Source organism: Homo sapiens, chromosome 12, assembly GCF_000001405.40.
Source record: "Homo sapiens chromosome 12, GRCh38.p14 Primary Assembly".
Classification (NCBI taxonomy): Eukaryota; Metazoa; Chordata; class Mammalia; order Primates; family Hominidae; genus Homo; species Homo sapiens.
The window spans coordinates 121,146,316-121,165,703 of record NC_000012.12 but is presented as its reverse complement, the minus strand read 5'-3'; the positions used below and the strand labels follow the sequence as shown (position 1 = coordinate 121,165,703).

Here is a 19,388-nt window from a genome sequence, read left to right as displayed (position 1 = left end):
GCTCTCCCACGAGCAACTGTGTGAGAGCTTGGAAAAGTGTTCTCCAGCCCCAGTCAAGCCTAGAAATGACTGCAGCCCTGGTTGACAGCTTGGCTACAACCTGACAGACCTTGAGCCAGAACCACGCAGCAAAGTCATTCCCAGATTCCTGACCCACAGAAACCGTGGGAGACAATAGGCGTTTGTTGTTTCAGGCTTCTGAGGTTTGGGATAATTTATTACTCAGCAGTAGATAACTAAGACAGCCAGGCAGCCTGGGCACTTACGTGGTGTAGTTGTGGCCGGGGAAGTCGATATTGTTCTTGATGAGCACAGTGAAGTTTTCGGCACTGTTCAAGAGAGCAGGCCTGGGAGAGAGACATGCAAAATGGCCATTAGTGACGGGGGGAACCGAGGGAGCCCATGGGCCAGTGGGACCAGAGGCTTCTGGTTTCTTGGCTTGGTCTTTGGGATACATGAAGAGAAATGGATACAGCAAACCTAGTGGGCAAAGCATTCTGAAACTCTCCACAAAGCCCCTCCAGCTCCTCCAAGAAGAATTTCTCCCTTCTTGAGATCTGATATGGTTTGGCTCTGTGTCCCCACCCAAATCTCATCTTGAATTGTAATCCCCATGTGCCAGAGGAGGGGCCTGGTGGGAGGTGACTGAATCATGGGGGCGGACTTCCTCCTTGCTGTTCTTGTGATAGTGAGTGAGTTCTCACGAGATCTGATCATTTAAAAGTGTGCGGCACATCCCCCGAAACCCGCCTCCTGCTCCATCATGGTAAGATGTGTTTGCTTCCCCTTCGCCTTCTGCCATGATTGTAAGTCTCCTGAGGCTTCCTGTTAAGCCTGTGGAGCTGTGAGTCAATTAAACCTCTTTTTTTTCGTAAAGTATTTGGTCTCAGGTAGTTCTTTATTTTTATTTTTATTTTTTTCTGAGATGGAGTCTCACTCTGTCACCCAGGCTGGAGTGCAGTGGCGCGATCTTGGGTCACTGCAACCTCCACCTCCCGGGTTCAAGCGACTCTCCTGCCTCAGCCTCCCGAGTAGCCGGGATTACAGGCGTGTGCCACCACACCTGGCTAATTTATGCATTTTTTAGTAGAGATGGGGTTTCACCATGTTTGCCAGGCTGGTATCGAACTCCTGACCTCAAGTGATCCGCCTGCCTCAGCCTGCCAAAGTGTTGGGATTACAGGCGTGAGCCACCGCACCTGGCTAGGTAGTTCTTTGTGTGAGAATGGACTAACACAAGACCCAGTGGCATTTACTGTGGCACCTCTCACAGTGATGTAATTACACATTCAGGTATGTACAGTGGTTGAGACTTGCTCCGTATCTGGGACTTGTATTTTACCTAAAACTTAGCAAAGTCTCTTATGCGTAGTTACGTATGAAATAAATATCTAACACCTACTACGTGGTGATGGATGTGTTGAATGAATGATTAAACGAACCATCTTAGCTAATTCATATAATATATGAGAAACTGAAGTTCAGGGAGTTGCTTGCCCAGGTCACGTCAAAATCCAGCCCAGAGGCAGGCACACTGGAGATGCAGTTTATTTAATGAGTGAGTTGATAGCAGAGCTGGAACTGAAACTGCAGTCAGTCAAGGGCCGCTTGTCTTGAACAAGGACTACCTGAGTGGAGGCTGCTGTATCTCCCAGAGCTGGGTGATTCCTTCTGTGACAAAGAAATGCCCCTGACCGAGAAATGAACCTGAGTGGAGCTATTAGCGATTGAGAATCATAAGGGGTGATGCTGCTGAGCGCACCCCCCATCCCGGCATTGGGAAACCTTCGCCTGAGCCTTCTACAGGCCAGCTTGGGGCAGTTTTCTCTTTGCCCCACGATGCTGAGGGAATGATCCTGAATCACATCGGTCTAGAACTGCGCTGTCCAATATGGTAGCCACTAGACATGTGTGGCTATTTAAATTTAAATTTAATTAAAAATTCAGGCTGGGAGCAATGGCTCAAACCTGTAACCCCAGCACTTTGGGAGGCCAAGGCAGGAGGATCGCTTGAGCCCAGGAGTTCAAAACCAGCCTGGGCAACATAGCAAAACTCTATCTATCTATCTATCTATCTATCTATCTATCTATCTATCTATCTATCTACCTGTCTATCTATCTATTATCTATTTATCTATCTATCTATCTTTCTATCTATCATCTATCATCTCTTTCAAAAATTCAGTAGTCGCATTTCATGTACTCAATAGCCACATGTACCTAGTAGCTGCCCTATTGGACAGCACAGATACAGAAATTTCCATCACTGCATCAAGTTCAATTGGACAGTGCTGGTCTAGAACCACCACACTTCTAGGGGTAGATTGTGTGTGTGTGTGTGTGTGCGTGTGTGTGTGTGTGTGTGTGTGTGTGTGTAAGCCAGGCATGCATGGGGCTTACCTTACAATAACTGTACAAGTATCATCTCATTTAATCCTTACAACAGCCCTATGAAGTTGGTGAAATTATTATTCTGCTTTTACAGGTGAGGACACTGAAACTCAGAGAGGTTAAGCCATTTTCCCAAGGACACACAGCAAAATGGTGTTAGAGCTAGGAATTGAATCCAGGTCTTTCTAACTATTCTCTGCTGAAATACATCAGCCCTTGTGGCTTCTGAGATTTAACATTGTGACTTTGTGTATTGAAGCGAAGCATCAATACAAGGGACCACCAAATCTGTATGTCATTGTAAGCATTTAATCTGAGAAAACTTCCTTCCCCCCCTCTTTTACCCTCACCCCTTTTGCTTTTTCCTCCCCTTCCCCTTCTCTTTCCTCGCTTCGTCCTTCCCTTCCATCTCCCTCCTTCCTTCCTATCCTTGATCACTCAGTATGGACACTGACAAGTCAGAAGGGATCCTGCTGTGGCACTACAGGAGGGGGTCTGGGGGTACCCTGGAAGATCTGGGGGAAGGAAGGGGCCAGGGACACCCAAGGATGCTCAGGGTAGTAGCTATTTACCAGTTGGTACAGGAGTGTTACAACAGTTTACCAACCACCATGGCCCTCCCAGAGATACTAGTTTGTGCCAAGCAGTGCATCCAGAGCGCAGGGGTCCCCAAGCCGGTAGGACCCAGGACTTTGCAGGGCTGTGCTGAGAGGGGAAGGCCCAAGCAGCCTCGGCAAGGCCTCATCTGGTCGCCGCTGAGGGCCACTGTGTCTGTCTCCCCATGCGACTCACCGGGGGGCCTCTTCCACTGCCTCGATGGGGCACCAGGCAGAGACTTCACAGGTCTTCTGGTTCCCTTCATACACTACACACCTTCCGGTCTGAATTCCTATAGGGGTCAAAGCATCGTAGAACCACAGATGTGAAAGAACTGCGGAGAGGACGTTCTCCAGGAGGGACATCATTAACTCAACCCGGGCGAGAGACTAGGCTTTGACCAGGCTTTCCAACCCACGCAGCTTCAGCTTCCATCAAGCCCATCCTAACCACAACGAACACAAGGCAAGGCAAACAAGCAAAACATAATAAAGATCAGAGAGAACACAGAAAGACTGTGGATTCTGCTGGCTCTTTTGTTTCTTTATAAGAAAAGGTGCCCATGAGGGGAGCGGAACAGGTGTATGCTCTCACTTAGTATAAATGGACTAGAACATGGCCTCTCAAAGGGGCACAAGTCCCTCAAGGGGTACACAGCCTGCCCAGGATGTGCAAAGCCATGAAATCAGCATGGCACATCTTCCTGGAGTGCCAGGATGATTAATCAGTTTCCAAGGGAGAATTAATTAAATAGTGAGCAATGTTAAAATAACTTTTATACTAACTCAAATACACATACAGTATGGAGTAGAATGCAGTAATGGGCATATGCCTTTTTGTGTGTGTTTGCATTATAACCACTGATTTTTTTTTTTTTACTATTTGCAGTATTTTTAAAATTGCCCTGTGCCTTTTTTTTTTTTTTTAAAGGGGTCTCGCTCTGTCACCCATGCTGGAGTGCAGTGGCATGATCTTGGCTCACTGCAACCTCTGCCTTCCAGGTTCAAGTGATTCTCACGTCTCAGCCTCCCAAGTAGCTGGGATTATAAGCGTGTGCCACCATGTCTGGCTGATTTTTGTATTTTTAGTAGAGACGGGGTTTCACCATGTTTTCCAGGCTGTTCTCGAACCCCTGACCTCAAGCATCCATCTGCCTCACCCTCCCAAAGTGCTGGGATTACAGGCACCAGCCTCTGCGCTCGCTGCCCTGTGCCTTTTTAAGTTAAAATGTGAGATAAAGAAATTCTGCAGGTATCGCAATAGCACTGCACTTAGATATAAATAAAATCAAAATCAAAATCAAAATAAAACAGTGCAAAAAATGTTTAAAAAATAAAATAAAATAAAAAACAAAAAAAATTCTGCAGGTTAATATGGGTATTGCTGCCAGGTTCCCTGGGGGTAAAAGTTCATGGTCCTCAACCTTTGAGGAAATTCAGGGGGAAAGTTTAGAATACTCAGATGATGCTATAGGCCATGTGAATTTTCTACCGATTAGAATCCTGAACCTGCTAGGTTTTTAGGAGCTTCTTCTCTCACTGGAAAACTGGAGTCATGTTTACAGTCAGCAGCTGGTCTGCTGGGGACAGAGCCGAAGCATGGGCAGACTCGCCTATGGCTTGGTGATGGTGGAAGAGGGCAGCTGAGAGCAGAGGCTGAAGACCTGACCTGGGCATCACAAATGTCACCAAGATGCCAGACCATCCACCCCTAGGGTCTCGGGAAAAGAAACAGAAGGTACCTTTGCTCTGCGGGTCCATCCATCCCTTTTTACAACCTCGGTCAGAGGAACAGAGCGTCCTGCGGGTGGGATACTGCAGATAGAAGGATGACAGAGTGGGGAGTAAGTGACGTGTGTTACTAAGACGTGGAGAAGTGATTCGATATCCACCAGAATGTGCACACGAATGCTTATAGCAGCACTACTCAGAATCGCCAAAAAAGTGGAAACCACGCAAGTGGCCACTGACGGATGAATGGACAAATAAAATGTGGTACATTCATACACAGAATCTTATTTAGCCATAAGAAGGATGAAGCAATGACACAGGCTACAACATGGATGGACCTGGAGAACATGATGCTGAGTGAAAGAAGACAGACACAAAAGGCCACACCATATACAATTCTATTTATAGGAAATGTCCAGAATAGGCATCTATAGAGACAGAAAGTAGACTGTGGCCAGGGACAGGGGAAGGGGAGAATGGGGAGTGACTGCTACTGGATTTGGGGTTTCCTTTGTAGGTGATGAAAATGTTCTGGGGGCTGGGCGCCGTGGCTTATCACGCCTGTAATCCCAGCACTTTGGGAGGCCAAGGCGGGCAGATCACCTGAGGTCAGGAGTCTGAGACCAGCCTGCTCAACATGGTGAAACCCCGTCTCTACTAAAAATACAAAAATTATCAGATGTGGTGGTGTGCGCCTGTAATCCCAGCTACTAGGGGGGCTGAGGCAGGAGAATCACTTGAACCTGGGAGGTGGAGGTTGCAGTGAGCTGAGATTGCGTCACTGCACTCCAGCCTGGGTGACAAGAGCAAAACTCCACCTAAAAAAAGAAAGAAAGGAAGGAAGGAAGAAAGAAAGAAAAAGAAAGAAAGAAAGGAAAAAAAAAGAAAGAAAGAAGGAAGAAAATATTCTGGAATTAGACGGTGGTGATGGTTGCACAACTCTGTGATTATACTAAAAACCACTGAACCGTATGTACACTTTAAAATGGTGGGGTTTATGGTATGTGAATTATATCCCAATACAAATAAATAAAAATGGGAAAAGCAGAGGTCTGGGAAGCTAGGGATCACTTTCAGGGATGCTGGCTGGGATGGGGGACAGGTGGCTTGGTCCAAGTGGCCCTGTGGCTGAAAGGACTGAGCAGGGCAAACAGGTGCGGAGACTCAGCAGGACACATGGAACTGAGAGACATTGGCCAGGACACTCGCCTGGCCCAAGAAAATGAGACCAGCTGGGTCTCAGGGCTGAAGGACAGAACACGGAAGAGAGAAATGAGCTGCCCTGGTTTATGCATATTTCTCTTCCTGTTTTCTAGGGAGCAGGCTTCATGGCCAGTCTTGGGGAAGCCAGAACATGACATAGGTGTGAAAATGGCCTCTGCTCTTTGTCATCTGTGCAATTTGTGGCTTCTACAGTGATTCAGGTCAAGGACCTAGGTCTTGGACCCAGGTATATCTGGTTCAGCAGTAGCTGCACCATTTTCTAGCTGAGAGACCTTGGCCAGCTCACTGTTCATCTGTAAAAGCAGGGTGAACAGATTTGTCTTTTTTTTTTTTTTTTTTTTTTTGGAGACAGAGTCTTGCTCTGTCGACCAGGCTAGAGTGCAATGGTGTGATCTTGGCTCACTGTAACCTCCACCTCCTGAGTTCAGGCAATTCTCCTGCCTCAGCCTCCTGAGTAGCTGGGATTACAGGCACGCACCACCATGCCTGGCTAATTTTTGTATTTTTAGTAGAGACGGTGTTTCCCCATCTTGGCCAGGCTGGTCTTGAACTCCTGACCTCATGATCTGCCTGCCTCGACCTCCCAAAGTGCTGGGATTATAGGCGTGAGCCATCATGCCCAGCCAACAAATTGTCTTGCCTGGTTGTTGTGAAGATTAAGTGAGTTATGAAAAGAAAGGGTTTAGCACATAGTACATGCTCAATGAATGTTTCTTGTAGTTTTCAAACTCTCTCATGATCTCTTTATTTCCCAGGCTGCCTTGTCACATGGCATGCCGTTGGTCTCCTCCCCTTGTGACTCCCCAGATTAGATTATGAACCCTTTGAATACAGAGCCAAGGTCATATCTTTGCAGCCCAAGTGCCTGGCAAATAGTAGGTCTTGATAGTCATGGAAGGAATGAATGTGTGATCATTCATTGTGGCTCATGGAAAGTTACATTTTCATTATCAACTGGAGATGAATCTCAGGAAAGAAGAGAAATCAGTTTTATTTTGCTCTCCAAAAGGAATTCTAATTTTTTTTTTAAAAAACAGCACATTAGTTTTGTTTTAATCTTCTCTTTTGTGATTGTTGCATGGATTAAAGATGGCCACAAATTCTTGGTCACTTTCTCCATTGAGAGGTGGAGTGTTTCCCCTACTTTCTGAAGCTGAGCCTGTGCTGTGACTGCAAAGCCAATAGAAGCAGCAGAAGGAATGCTGTTGCCAGTTCCAGGCCTAAGCCTTAAGAAGGCCTGGAAGCTTCTATTTTTTTGTTTTGTTTTGAGGAACCTGAGCCACTATTAGAAAGTTTGACTACCCTGCTGGAGAGACAATGCGGACAGACCTTGAAGAGAGGGTAACTCTTAGGGGTTCCCAGAGAGGAAGAGATGTCTAGCTATCCCTGGGTGCCAATTGAGGCTCCAAGGGATGCCAACCCCAGCTGCCATCTGACTGCAGCTCCTTGAGAGATCCCTAGTGAGACCAGCAGAAGAACCAACCAGCTGAACTCAGTCAACCACTGAACTGTGAGAGTTAATAAAATGCTTGTGTTAAGCCCACCATGATCAGGGTAGTTTGTTTTGCAGCCACAGATAAATGGAGCAAATATCTATTCATGTTGGTGTGTAACTGGAACTTGGTCATATTTACCGAGACAACCCGAGATAGAGGGGTGTTGATGGGCAGAGAGGAGGCAAATGCCCAATTAGACCAGCCCAAACCAGCCTGGAGCATAAGTTAAAATCCCAAAGAGTCACATGTGCTCTCTGGGCTGGAAGTGCTTCGATGGAACCTGTTGGGTTCCAGTCACTCTGAGTGACATCCTATCTGAGGAGTAACATGTCATTTGAATCATAACAACTGACATTCATTGAGTGCTTATAATGTACCATGCCTTGTTTTAAGCGTGTCACAGGTATTCACTCATTTGTTTCAATAATCCGAACAGCTAGGTTTTGTTCTCAGCCCCATTTTACAGATGCACACAACTTGGCACAGAGAGGTGAAGAGTCACCTGCCTGAGGTCACAGAGTTAAGAAGTTTAAGTTTTGAACCTTTAGCGGTCTAGCTTCTGAGCCCAGGCTCTTAATCTCTGGGCTATCCTAACTCTTTTTCTTCCAAGTCTCAATAAGTCCAAAAGTGTCTTTATGTGTACATGGAGGTAGAGTGTGGTGTAGAGATGACCAAAGGATGGGACAAAAGGGAAACAGGCCCCCAAACTGGATTGGAGACGGAACACTGCTGGGAAGGGAGACAGAAGGGAGGGCTTGGCTGGCCTGGCTGTCAGAGATTTCATCTGAGCAGCAGGGACAGTTAAGGGGTGATGAGGACAAAACAAATGTAGAAAGCTCTCCTTTTAGACGGAGTGTTATCAAGATAGACACCAAGGGAATGTTATCTTGGTTCTGAATTTGGGTACAAATGATGGCAAAGACTGTACTCAAAGACAGCACTTTTGCCCAGAGGTCCTGGACACTCAGGAAGCTAGACCTTGTTGCCAGAGTGGGCCCGTGAGCAAAACTCCACCGGCAGGGCTGGTCCTGCTCATCAGTGGAGGATCTGGCTGGGTATCACCAGCGCTGCTGCAACGGTCAGTGTTGGAAATGGTCCCTGGTACAGCACAGTTACGTTACCTGAGAGGGGAGGCTGGGAGGTTGGGAGTTACAGGTAATGCCTAGCAGTAACACGCTGGTATAGATAAACTTAGAAGAAAAGCTGGTTTAAGAGGAGAGAGCAGGATGGTGAGGTAAAGAATAGGACAAATACAGTTTTTGTTTTGTTTTGTTTTTAGAGACAAGGTCTCACTATGTTGCCCAGGCTGGTCTTGAACTCCTGGGCTCCAGTGATCCTCCTGCCTTGGCCTCCCAAAGTGCTGAGATTATAGGTGTGAGCCACCATGCCTAGCCCAGAATAAAACAAATATGATTTGATAGGGAAGAAGCTCTTCCAGAAAGAGGCGGCTCTTTGGAGAGAGCAAAGCCAAGTTGGGAAAGATTGTCTGGGGTGGTGGCAGGGAGTCATGGGGGCACATGCACGTGATGGAGAGGCTGAGACTCTAAGAAGTGGATGAATGAGCAAGAGAGCTGTGTGCCAGGGTTTTCCAAGACCAGCCCTGCAGACAGTTCACTGTGAACCATGGTAGGAGAAGCTGTGAGTGAGGACACTCAGGTCCTAACCCTGGCTCTGCCTGCAGCAAGCTGTGTGACCCTGGGGGAAGTCACAACATCTCTGAATCTGTGTTCTGGTTTGTAAAATGCCATTTTTCTCCTAAAGTCATTGTGAGCCTCAAGTAAAATGTGAAATGTTGTGCAAATGCCAAGAATCACCATTGTCATAAGCTGCGAAGAGAGCCAGAGATAGAAAGAGCAGGGTTGCCGTCTGCACGGGTCCCTAGTGCTAGAACCAGAGACCGAGGCAGGCAGACAAAGATCTGGTGGCCATGGAGAGACACTGCCATGTGTTCTCTCCCTTCCTCCACTCAGCCCAGCCCTACCCCACAAAAGAGGCAGGTGCTCAGTAGATATCTGTGGGCTCAAATACACCCCAGGGTCCGCATTTCTGCTTCTTCCGACTTGCACCTCCCCCAGGAACTCTTAAGACCTGACCCACCACTCCAGGTCCCCTCCTTACCTCGGGACACAACCGCTGCTCTTGGCCTTCTGTTTTGAGAAAGTTTGTCATCACGAAGAAAGAGTTCCCCTGTGGAGAAGGAGAGGCTAAGAAAATGCAAGGCCTTTGAAAAGAGAACTACTTAATTATAATAATCCAGCTTGCTGGGCGAACCTCTCCACTTTTCTAAGCTTCTAGAAATCAGGATCTGTGGGCAACTTGGAATATGCCAAGGGCTTAATATCAAAGCTGGACGAGCAGCCCTGCTGAGCTGAGGGAGAGTGAAGGAGCGTTTGAATGGGTTGAAGAGTCATTTACCAATGCAGTCTCAAAAGCAGCCTTTTCATGTTTTTGTTTTTGTTTTTGTTTTTTTTTTACGCAGTAAAAATCTCATTAAATTGAAACTCAGGAGACCTGGGGAGGCGAGGGTAGGGGAGCAGCCTTCATCACAACACTGTTCAGATTTTCCCAGACTTTAATGAAAGGGCACTAGGGCATCCCACCACCTGAGCAATCACAGGATTTTAATGACCCACTGTTAGAAACAAACAGCAGCTTGGGCTTCATGGGTCTTTGCAAAGCATTTTAGCTCCCCAAGCCGCAAACGTGCCCCTTTGTCCCTCTCGCCCCCTTATCTGTTTTTTGGACTCCTCAACCCTACTTTAATTTCTCTTTTTTGGCAATTCTGCTTTCATTTTCCCTGCTTGCAAATCTAGAAGTCACACGCCTTCTCTCAGTGACCGATGCCTTTCTTCTTTTTGTCATTTACATCCTTTCTTTGTGGAAAAATGTACCCAAGAATGGTCTCCTGGAGTCATTTTTGTTGATGAAATGCTACACAATCTAGAAGGGCTGGTGCTCTTTGGTAGAAAGTTCTCTGTCCTTCTGAATCTCGGCAGACCTTGCTGGCTTGGTGGCTGTGCGTCTAAAAAGCTGCGGGTAAATCAAGCGCGAGTGAATCAAATCCTGTTTTCAATGCACCAGGACATGAGGCTATTTTGAGAAACCCTGTAGGACTTGATAAAGCAAAGAATCATCTCCTGGATCTCACCCAGTTTTGCAATTTTTAGGTTTTCTCAGTTGGGATGTTCACAGAGCTTTTAAAATAGGACCAGCGTTTTTTCTGGAGTGAGGCTGTAGATCCTAGGGGAAGGGAGCTAGGCCCTGGCGACGGTGACCAGCGACGAGCCTGGGAGAATGCTACGAGGTGCTCACCTGCAAAGGGAAGGTGTAGTCTGCGGTGTCAAAGACACTGTGCACCAACTTCTTCACTCCATTCTCCACGATCTCCTCTTTCACCTCTGCTATCCCCTTCACCTTGGTGTGCACAGAACTGATGACAGGCTCTTTCCGCTGGTACAGCTTGTCACTCACCAGAGCAAAGCTAAATGGCAGACATGGGAAAGCATCAACGGGAGGCATAGCACAGCGGGTTGGGATGCAGGCGTTGGAGGATGCAGGCACTTCTGTTCCAATCCTAGCTCTGCTGCGTGACTTGCTTCCGTGTGACTTGTTTTCCCTCTCTGGATAATGGGAAGAATAGTCATACCTGCCTCATGGATTGTGAGGATGAAATGAGAGACGTCTGCAGACTCCTTTGCCCAGTATCTGGCACATAGCTAGCACTTGCTACAGGAAAGCTACTGCCCCCAATCCTATTCTTTAATATTCCCTAACATGGACCCTCATAGATAGGACAGCTTCTCAAGTCATAAAGTCTCGCCCCGGTGGGTTCGCCAGCTTTGTCTGGAGGCTCAGTAACACATCAGCACCTTCCAGTCTAAGGCTGCATCTGGTGCATTTTCAGAAACACCCACCTGCTTTATCAATAACATTGAAAATGGCAGCTACTCTCTCTCTCTCTCTTTTTTTTTTTTTGAAACAGAGTTTTGCTCTTGTTGCCCAGACTGGAGTGCAATGGTGCGATCTTGGCTCACTGCAACTTCCACCTCCCAGGTTCAAGTGATTCTCCTGCCTCAGCCTCCCAAGTAGCTGGGATTACAGGTGTGAGCCACTGCGCCCAGCCTCTCTTTTTTTTTTATTCCAGAGAAAGGGCCTTGCTCTGTTGCCCAGGCTGGAGGGCAGTGGCGTGATCGTAGCTCACTGCAGCCTCCAACTCCCGAGCTCAAGTTGATCCTCCCACCTCAGCCTCCTGAGTAGCTGGAACTACAGGCATGTATCACCATGCTCAGCTAGTTTTTATTATTTTTTATAGAGACGGGGGTCTCTTTATGTTGCCCAGGCTGGTCTCAAACCCTTGGCCTCAAGCAATCCTCCTGCCAACATGTTGAGCCTCCCAACATGTTGTGGTTACAGGTGTGGGCCACCACACCAGGCTGCAGGAGTTACTCTTTATTGAGCACTTCATATGTGCCAAGTACTCTGCATGCACCATCTCCTTTAATCGTCACAACAGTAGGAGATAGTTACCAGGATTACCGGCATGCGCCACCGCACCCAGCCTAAAGGGTTTGTTTTATTATGTTTTTTTGAGATGGAGTCTTGCTCTGTAGCCCGGGCTGGAGTGCAGTGACTCCATCTCAGCTCACTGCAACTTCTGCCTGCCGGGTTCAAGTGATTCTCCTGCCTCAGCCTTCCGAGTAGCTGGGATTACAGGCGCGTACCACCACACTTTGCTAATTTTTGTATTTTTAGTAGAGACAAGGTTTCGCCATGTTGGTCAGGCTGGTCTTGAATGCCCAACCTCAAGGGATCCACCCACCTTGGCCTCCCAAAGTGCTGGGATTACAGGTGTGAGCCACCACACCCAGCCCTAAAGGGTTTGTTTTAAATGCTTTATTTACTCATTCAGACTTTATTTATTTAGTCCCTTCTATCTGCTCAGCTGCTGAGTGATATTAGCAAGTCTAAGATGATGGCTGCCCTCTATGAGCTGACCTTGGGAAGCTGAGACAGAGTGGGCCAAGACTCAGTCCCAGCTGTTCTCCACCTTGGCTGTGTAATCACCCAGGGAGCTTTCAAGTCCCCAGTCCCATCCCTGGAGACTAGGATTCCACGGGTCGGGGGAGTTATCCAGATACCCACATATTTTTTTAAAGTTCCCAAGTGATTCTAATGCATAGCCAGGGCTGAGAACCAGTAGTAGGCTCCTGAAAAGATAGCTCAGATTTGACAATAGCAAGTACATTTGAAGAAGAGCATTCCCCATGGCCCAGCAATAAAACTCTTACATTTGTGCCCTAGAGAAGCTCTTGTACATGTGCCGGAGGAGCTATGGACAAGAATGTTTCTGCAGCATTGCTTGTAAGAGGGAAAGCAGGAAATAACCTACATGTACTCAAACAACGAATGGATAAATAAATTGTTGGATTCATACAATGAGATGCTTTGAGCCAGGCACAGTGGCTCACGCCTGTAATCCCAGAACTTTGGGATGCCAAGGCGGATGGATCACCTGAGGTCAGGAGTTTGAGGCCATCCTGGCCAATATGGTGAAACCTCATCTCTACTAAAAATAAAAATTAACTGGGTACGGTGGCGTGAGCCTGTAATCCCACCTATTCGGGAGGCTGAGGCAGGAGAATCGCTTGAACCTGGGAGATGGAGGTTGTGGTGAGCTGAGATCGCGCCACTGCACTCCAGCCTGGGCAACAAGAACAAAGCTCCATCTCAAAAAACAAAACAAAACAAAACAAAAAACAAAGAACAAAAATTAGCTGTGTGTGGTGGCACATGCCTGTAGTCCCAGCTACTCTGGAGGCCACAGTGGGAGGATTGCTTGGGCCCGGGAGGTCAAGGCTATAGTAAGCTGTGATTGCACCCCTGTACTCCAGCCTGGGCAACAGAGTGAGACCCTGTCTCAAAAAAATAATAATAAAATAATTTTTTAAAATGAGATGCTTTGCAGCAGTGAAAATGAATTGACTAGGCCTGACATAGTGTCTCACACCTGTAATCTCAGCATTTTGGGAGGCCAAGGTGGGTGGATCACTTGAGATTAGGAGTTCAGGACCAGCATGACCAACATGGTGAAACCCTCTCTCTACTAAAAATACAAAAAATTAGCCGGGTGTGGTGGTGTGCGCCTGTAATCCCAACTACTCGGGAGGGTGAGGCAGGAGAATCCTTTGAACCGGGGAGGTGGAGGTTGCAGGGGGCCAAGGTCACATTACTGCACTCCAGCCTGGGCGAGTAATATTGATGAACCTTGAAAACAATATAATTTATGGCTGGAGTTCAAGCGATTCTCCTGCCTCAGCCTCCCAAGTAGGTGGGTAGCTCGTGCCACCACACCCAGCTAAGTCAAAGAGACCAGTCACAAAAGGCCACATATTGTATGATTCCATTTATATGAAATATCCAGAATAGGTGAATCCACAGAGACAGAGAGTAGATTGGTCGTTGCAGGGGACAGAGTGGGAAGAAATGGGGAGTGACTCCTGGGGGGCATGGAGTGTCCTTTTGGGGTGATGAAAATGTTCTGGAGCTAGATAGAGGTGGTGGTTGCACAGTACTATGAATGTCCTAAATGCCACTGAATTGTTCATGTTTACAGTGGTTAATTTTACGTTATGTGAATTTCACCCCAATAAAAAATTATATTTTTTATATATGTAGACATATATGTGCTGTAGAAATATTAAAACAAACAAGGGAATTAAAAATGTCAAATTCAGGATTTCTTTTAGGCTGGGCATGGTGGCTCATGCCTGTAATCTTTGGGAGGCCGAGGCAGGTGGATCATCTGAGGTCCTGGGTTCGAAACCAACCTGGCCAAACCCCGTCTCTACTAAAAATACAAAAATTAGCCAGTTGTGGTGGCATGTGCCTGTAGTCCCAGCTACTCCGGAGGCTGAGGCAGGAACCCTGGAGACGGAGGTTGCAGTGAGCCGAGATGGCGCCACTGCACTCCAGCCTGGGTGATAGAGTGAGACTCTGTCTCAAAAAGAAAAAAAAAAAAAAGGATTTCATTTAGAGATGGAGTCTTGCTATGTTGCCCATGCTGGAACACAGTGGCTATTTCACAGGTGCAATCAGCACACGACAGCCACAAACTCCTGGGCTCAAGTGATCCTCCCATCTCAGCCTCCCAAGTAGCTCAGGCTGCAGGTGCAGCCACTGTGCCTGGCTGCAGGATGTTTATAAAGCAAAAGGAAAGAGAATGGGATGAAGGATGAGTTTGCAGGGAGCAAAACTGGATTAGTAATGCTTTATTTCTTAAGTTGGATGGTGGTACGTGGGTGTTATATTATGCACAATACACTTTAGTATTTCTATAACATTTATTTATTACTTATTTGAGACGGAGTCTCACTCTGTTGCCAAGGCTGGAGTGCAATGGCGCGATCTCAGCTTACTGCAACCTCCGCCTCCCAGGTTCAAGTGATTCTCCTGCCTCAGCCTCCCAAGTAGCTGGGATTACAGGCATCCACCATCGTGCCCAGCTAATTTTTGTATTTTTAGTAAAGATGGGGTTTCTCCATGTTGGTCAGGCTGGTCTTGAACTCCTGACCTCAGGTGATCCACCCGCCTTGGCCTCCCAAAGTGTTGGGATTACAGGCATAAGCCAGTGCACACGGCCAACATTTATTTAAAAAGAAGGATTTTCAAGAAAGATGTTGGGGTAAGATACCCAGATTTGAGACCCAATCAGCACATACGAGACATAGCTATTAAATAGAATTCCATAGACAAATATGATAACACTTGCTCATTAATACATTTCAGCCCAGCATCCCAACACATACATGGTGCATGCAGCGCTTTCTCATGCTGGATGTTGCAACGTTCTCCTGGAACAACACTGGGTCATGTGACCCACCATTTGGGAAGCTCAATTCTGATCTCTCATATTTATCCCAGAATGTGCAACATATGATCGATCAGCCTTAATGGAATCAGGCCCTCTCCTAAACAGAAAACCTGTCTCTGTGTCATCATGAACATGTAAATTTTAAGAATTAAAATGCTTCAGAGCTGCGTCAAAGACAAAAAGGGAATGAAAGCGAGTTTGCACACTTTACCTGTCGGGGGGGATACTGTGATCATGAAAGTGAGTTTGTAGTATCCTCCCTTTGGAAAGAAAGTGCTAATGACCATCCCAGAAATACTCTCCCGACCTTGCTTGGTGACTAAGGTGAGCCATGTCACCCCTCCAGGTGGTAGGTTTAATCCCTGAATGAAGAGAGAACTCCCAGCCTTCCCCATCCCCATGACCTTTTTGCTCTAAGAGGCTATAATGTTATGCATTCTGTAGAAGGCAAAGCCGCTGGTACCTGGAGCTAACGGGAGTGTGAAGGACCTAGGGATTTCACTGAGCCGGGGAGGATGGGTAAGTTGTGGGGGTGTGGTGGTGTGCACCTATATTCGCAGCTACTTGTTAGACCGAGGTAGGAGGATCCCTTGAGCCCAGGAGTTCAAGACAAGCCTGGGCAACACAGTGAGACTCCAGTCTCTAAAAAAGAACAAAGCTGGAAAGATTTTGGGAAGTAGAACAGAGCTAATGGGAGAGAAGCCAGGGCCACTGATATGGTTTGGCTGTGTCCCCATCCAAATTTCATCTTGAATTATAGCTCCCATAATTTCCATGTGTTGTGGGAGGGACCTGGTGGGAGATAATTGAATCATGGGGGCAGTTTCCCCCATACTGTTCTCGTGATAGTGAGTAAGTCTCATGGGATCTGATGGTTTTATAAGAGGTTTCTTCTTTTGCTTGGTTGTCATTCACTTTTTGCCTGCCACCATGTAAGACATGCCTTTCGCCCTCTGCCATGATTGTGAGGCCTTCCCAGCCATGTGGAACTGTGGGCCCATTAAACCTCTTTCCTTTATAAATTACCTGGTCTTGGGTATGTCTTTATTAGCAGCGTGAGAACAGACTAATACAGCCATCAAGGGGCACTCACAGGCAAGTCTGGCTGAGGAGGAGCCCTGGAGTGGCAGGGAAATAAGGATGGAGGGTGAGGTTGGGCCCATGGGACCCTGAGGCTGCTTGCTCTGGACCCACCAGATGGAGATGAAGGTGCCCACCATAAAGTCGTTCTTCAGAGTCTCAATCCACATGCTCTGAATATGAGTGACTGTCACAGACTTACACTGGCATCACAGGTGGGATGGGCCCCATGCCAGCATGGTTAGATTGCTCTTCAAGCTCTGCAGGGAGGACCTCCCTTTCAGCAAAGTTCCTCTCCGTCTTACAGCCCCTGGGCTTCCAGCGCAAAGGTAACATCAAAGGGCTGAGCCTCCAAAGTGTATCCCTTGTATCTCTTAGCTCACACCTAAGCCAGGCCAACAAACATCTTCATGGACCCCTAAAGAACAGTAGCGCCAGGACTGTGCCTGCAGTGCGGCACAGAGAAGCTTGGCGTGCAGCCTCTGCATCTCTTATTTAAAATCCCAAGAGGAGAATCCGATCAGGTCCATCGCTGGTCCACCCGGCCATGGTGGGGGCTCAGCAAGGGGCGAGGACCCAAGAGATGCTCTGAGAAGAAAGTGGGGGAGAGCCAGCACCCCCAGGGCAAGTTTAATCCCGATTGTATTAGTTTCTGGTTGTTGCTCTAACAAATTACCACAAACTTAGTGGCTTTCAACAACACTAATTTATTCTTTTGCAGTTTTGGGGGTCAGACTCCTAAAGTCAGTCAAACAGGGTAAAAATCAAGGGTTAAAAAGAAAAAATATAAATTAAGATCACAGCTGGGTGCGGTGACTCACGCCTGTAATTCCAGCACTTTGGGAGGCTGAGGCAGGTGGATAATTTGAGATCAAGAGTTTGAGACCAGCCTGGGCAACATGGCGAAACCCCATTTCTACTAAAAAGGCAAAAATTAGCTAGGTGCGGTGATGGGTGCCTATAATTCCAGCTACTTGGGAGGCTGAGGTGGGAGAATCGTTTGAACCTGGGAGGCGGAGGTTGCAGTGAGCCAAGATCATGCCATTGCACTCCAGCCTGGGTGACAGAGTGAGACTCTGTCTCAAAATAAATAAATAAATAAATAAATAAATAAATAAATAAATAAAAAAGATCCCAGCCCAAGTCATTCCCATAGGCAATGGGAGTGTCTTCTAGATATCTCTTTATGTCCACACCTAGACACACAAATAGATATACTGATGTTACAAACGTGGCTGCAAGCTGTTTTGTAACTTGTTATTTTTGTTCAATAATATGTTATTAGTTCTTTCTATGACAGTAAAGATAGATCTGTGATAAAGATAGATCTATGATACACAGTCATTTTCAGTGGCTAAAGAGTATCTTAGTGTTTAAATTGAACATATGAAACGGCCCATTTTGGCTGGGCTCGGTGGCTCACTCATGTAATCCCAGAACTCTGGGAGGCCGAGGCAGGCAGATTAATTGAGGCCAGGAGTTCAAGACCCGCCTGGCCAACATGGTGGAAACCCCATCTCTACTAAAAATACAAAAATTAGCTGGGCGTGGTGGTGCACACCTGTAATCCCAGCTACTTGGGAGGCTGAGGCAGGAGAATCGCTTGAACCTGGGAGGCAGAGGTTGCAGTGAGCCAAGATCGTGCCACTGCACTTCAGCCTGGTGACAGACTGAGACTGTCTCAAGACAAACAAACAAACAAACAAACAACAACAAAAAAAACTGCCCATTTTGCATTTTGTAGGCCATAGCTATAGAATATAGGCAGTTCCATATGGTTCAAGCTAAAAGGTACATTGTGATAATTTGTCAACCAGCCTCTGGGATGGATATTTACTGGAACCTTTGTTCAATTTTCCCAATTATAAACATTTTTTGGTAACCCTAATATAGTCCTTACCATGTGCCAACCACTCTTCTAAGTCCATTTTGCTAACATATATTAACTCTTGCAATCCTTACTCTCCCCCACCAAAAACAAAAACAAAAACAAAAAACCAACTCTATAAGGAAGGTACTATTATTACCCCCACTTAATAGCTGAATAAACGGTGTCATGAATGAAGTGAGAAGCTTGTCCAAGGTCACATGGTAAATAGCAGCACCAGCTCCAAACACAGCCATGTAGCTTCACAGCCTCAGCTTTCTTAAATGCTACAGTGAATGGAATACTTTTTCGAATTTCCTTTTCAAATGTTCATTGCTGGTGTAAAAAAAACCCACACAATTAATTTTTGTGGTTGATCTTGTTCCTTGCAACTTGACTGAATTAGTTTATTTGCTCTAACAGTTTTCTTGTGAATTCTTTGGGATTCTCCCTATATGGGATTGTGCCACCTGTGACTAAAGATAGTTTTACTTCATCCTTTACAATCTGGATGCCTTTTATTGCTTTTTCTTGCCTAATTGCTCTGGCTAGAACTTCCAGTACAATGTCGAACAGCAGCGGTGAAAGCGGGCATCCTTGTCCTGTTCCTGATCTCAGGGAGATGCACTCAGGCTGTGCTCCTCAACACTGTGCTCACTGTCTGTCCATCCCGCATTCATGTTGCCAGGAATCCCTGCACAAGCTTCTTCTCACCCCTAAGACATTAAGTCCATAGGACAACTTCTGGGTGTGCACATTTTATAGCTGAGTTCATTTTCCCAAATCACAAAAACTTGAACCATTTCATGCTTCTATCAGCAAAGCAAGAGTGTGCACACTGCCTCTTCAGAGGGGCTTGGCCCGGCTCAGTGGCTCACGCTGTAATCCCAGCACTTTGGGAAGCTGAGGCAGGGGGATCACTGGAGGTCAGGAGTTCAAGACCAGCCTGGCCAACATGGTGAAACCCCGTCTCTACTAAAAATACAAAAATTAACCAGGCATGGCGATGTATGCCTGTAATCCCAGCATTCAGGAGGCTGAGGCAGGAGAATCACTTGAAACCAGGAGGCAGAGGTTGCAGTGAGCTGAGATTGTGCCATGCCCTCCAGCCTGGGACAGAGTAAGACTCCTCA

General features: G+C 46.8%; 1 protein-coding gene and 1 long non-coding RNA gene across 17 annotated transcripts in view, besides 1 other annotated feature; one reads left to right on the top strand and one right to left on the bottom strand.

Moving 5' to 3' along the window:
- The window catches only part of LOC105370032 (uncharacterized), an 84,641-nt gene that overhangs the window by 44,369 nt on the left and 20,884 nt on the right, over window positions 1-19,388 (top strand). For 3 of the 4 annotated variants that reach the window (XR_945459.4, XR_945460.4, XR_001749353.3), the window contains exon 3: window positions 3,287-3,501. The exons of the other annotated variant lie outside the window; for it this stretch is intronic. This is a non-coding gene — a long non-coding RNA (uncharacterized LOC105370032). Of the gene's footprint in view, window positions 1-3,286; window positions 3,502-19,388 lie in introns of those variants that run through there. 4 annotated transcript variants of the gene reach the window in all.
- The window catches only part of P2RX7 (purinergic receptor P2X 7), a 55,157-nt gene that overhangs the window by 22,329 nt on the left and 13,440 nt on the right, over window positions 1-19,388 (bottom strand). For 4 of the 13 annotated variants that reach the window (NR_033951.2, NR_033955.2, NM_002562.6 and 1 more), the window contains exons 2-6: window positions 10,751-10,919; window positions 9,557-9,625; window positions 4,730-4,802; window positions 3,184-3,280; window positions 267-347 (exon numbers count right to left, since the gene is read on the bottom strand). Coding sequence is in view for 3 of the 13 variants with exons in the window: in NM_002562.6 (NP_002553.3) it covers window positions 267-347; window positions 3,184-3,280; window positions 4,730-4,802; window positions 9,557-9,625; window positions 10,751-10,919 (489 nt within the window). In the remaining 10 variants the exon portion in view is untranslated. Of the gene's footprint in view, window positions 1-266; window positions 348-3,183; window positions 3,434-4,729; window positions 4,803-9,556; window positions 9,626-10,329; window positions 10,469-10,750; window positions 10,920-19,388 lie in introns of all 13 variants that reach the window. The other 9 variants (NR_033948.2, NR_033949.2, NR_033952.2 and 6 more) reach the window with 6 other exon arrangements.
- Window positions 9,411-9,912: an enhancer, noted in NCBI's record as "NANOG hESC enhancer chr12:121593595-121594096 (GRCh37/hg19 assembly coordinates)". NCBI's record gives its function as "activates a minimal SCP1, AML or CMV promoter by ChIP-STARR-seq in naive H9 embryonic stem cells {active_cell/tissue: H9 hESC(naive)}" and the evidence as "EXISTENCE:reporter gene assay evidence [ECO:0000049][PMID:30033119]".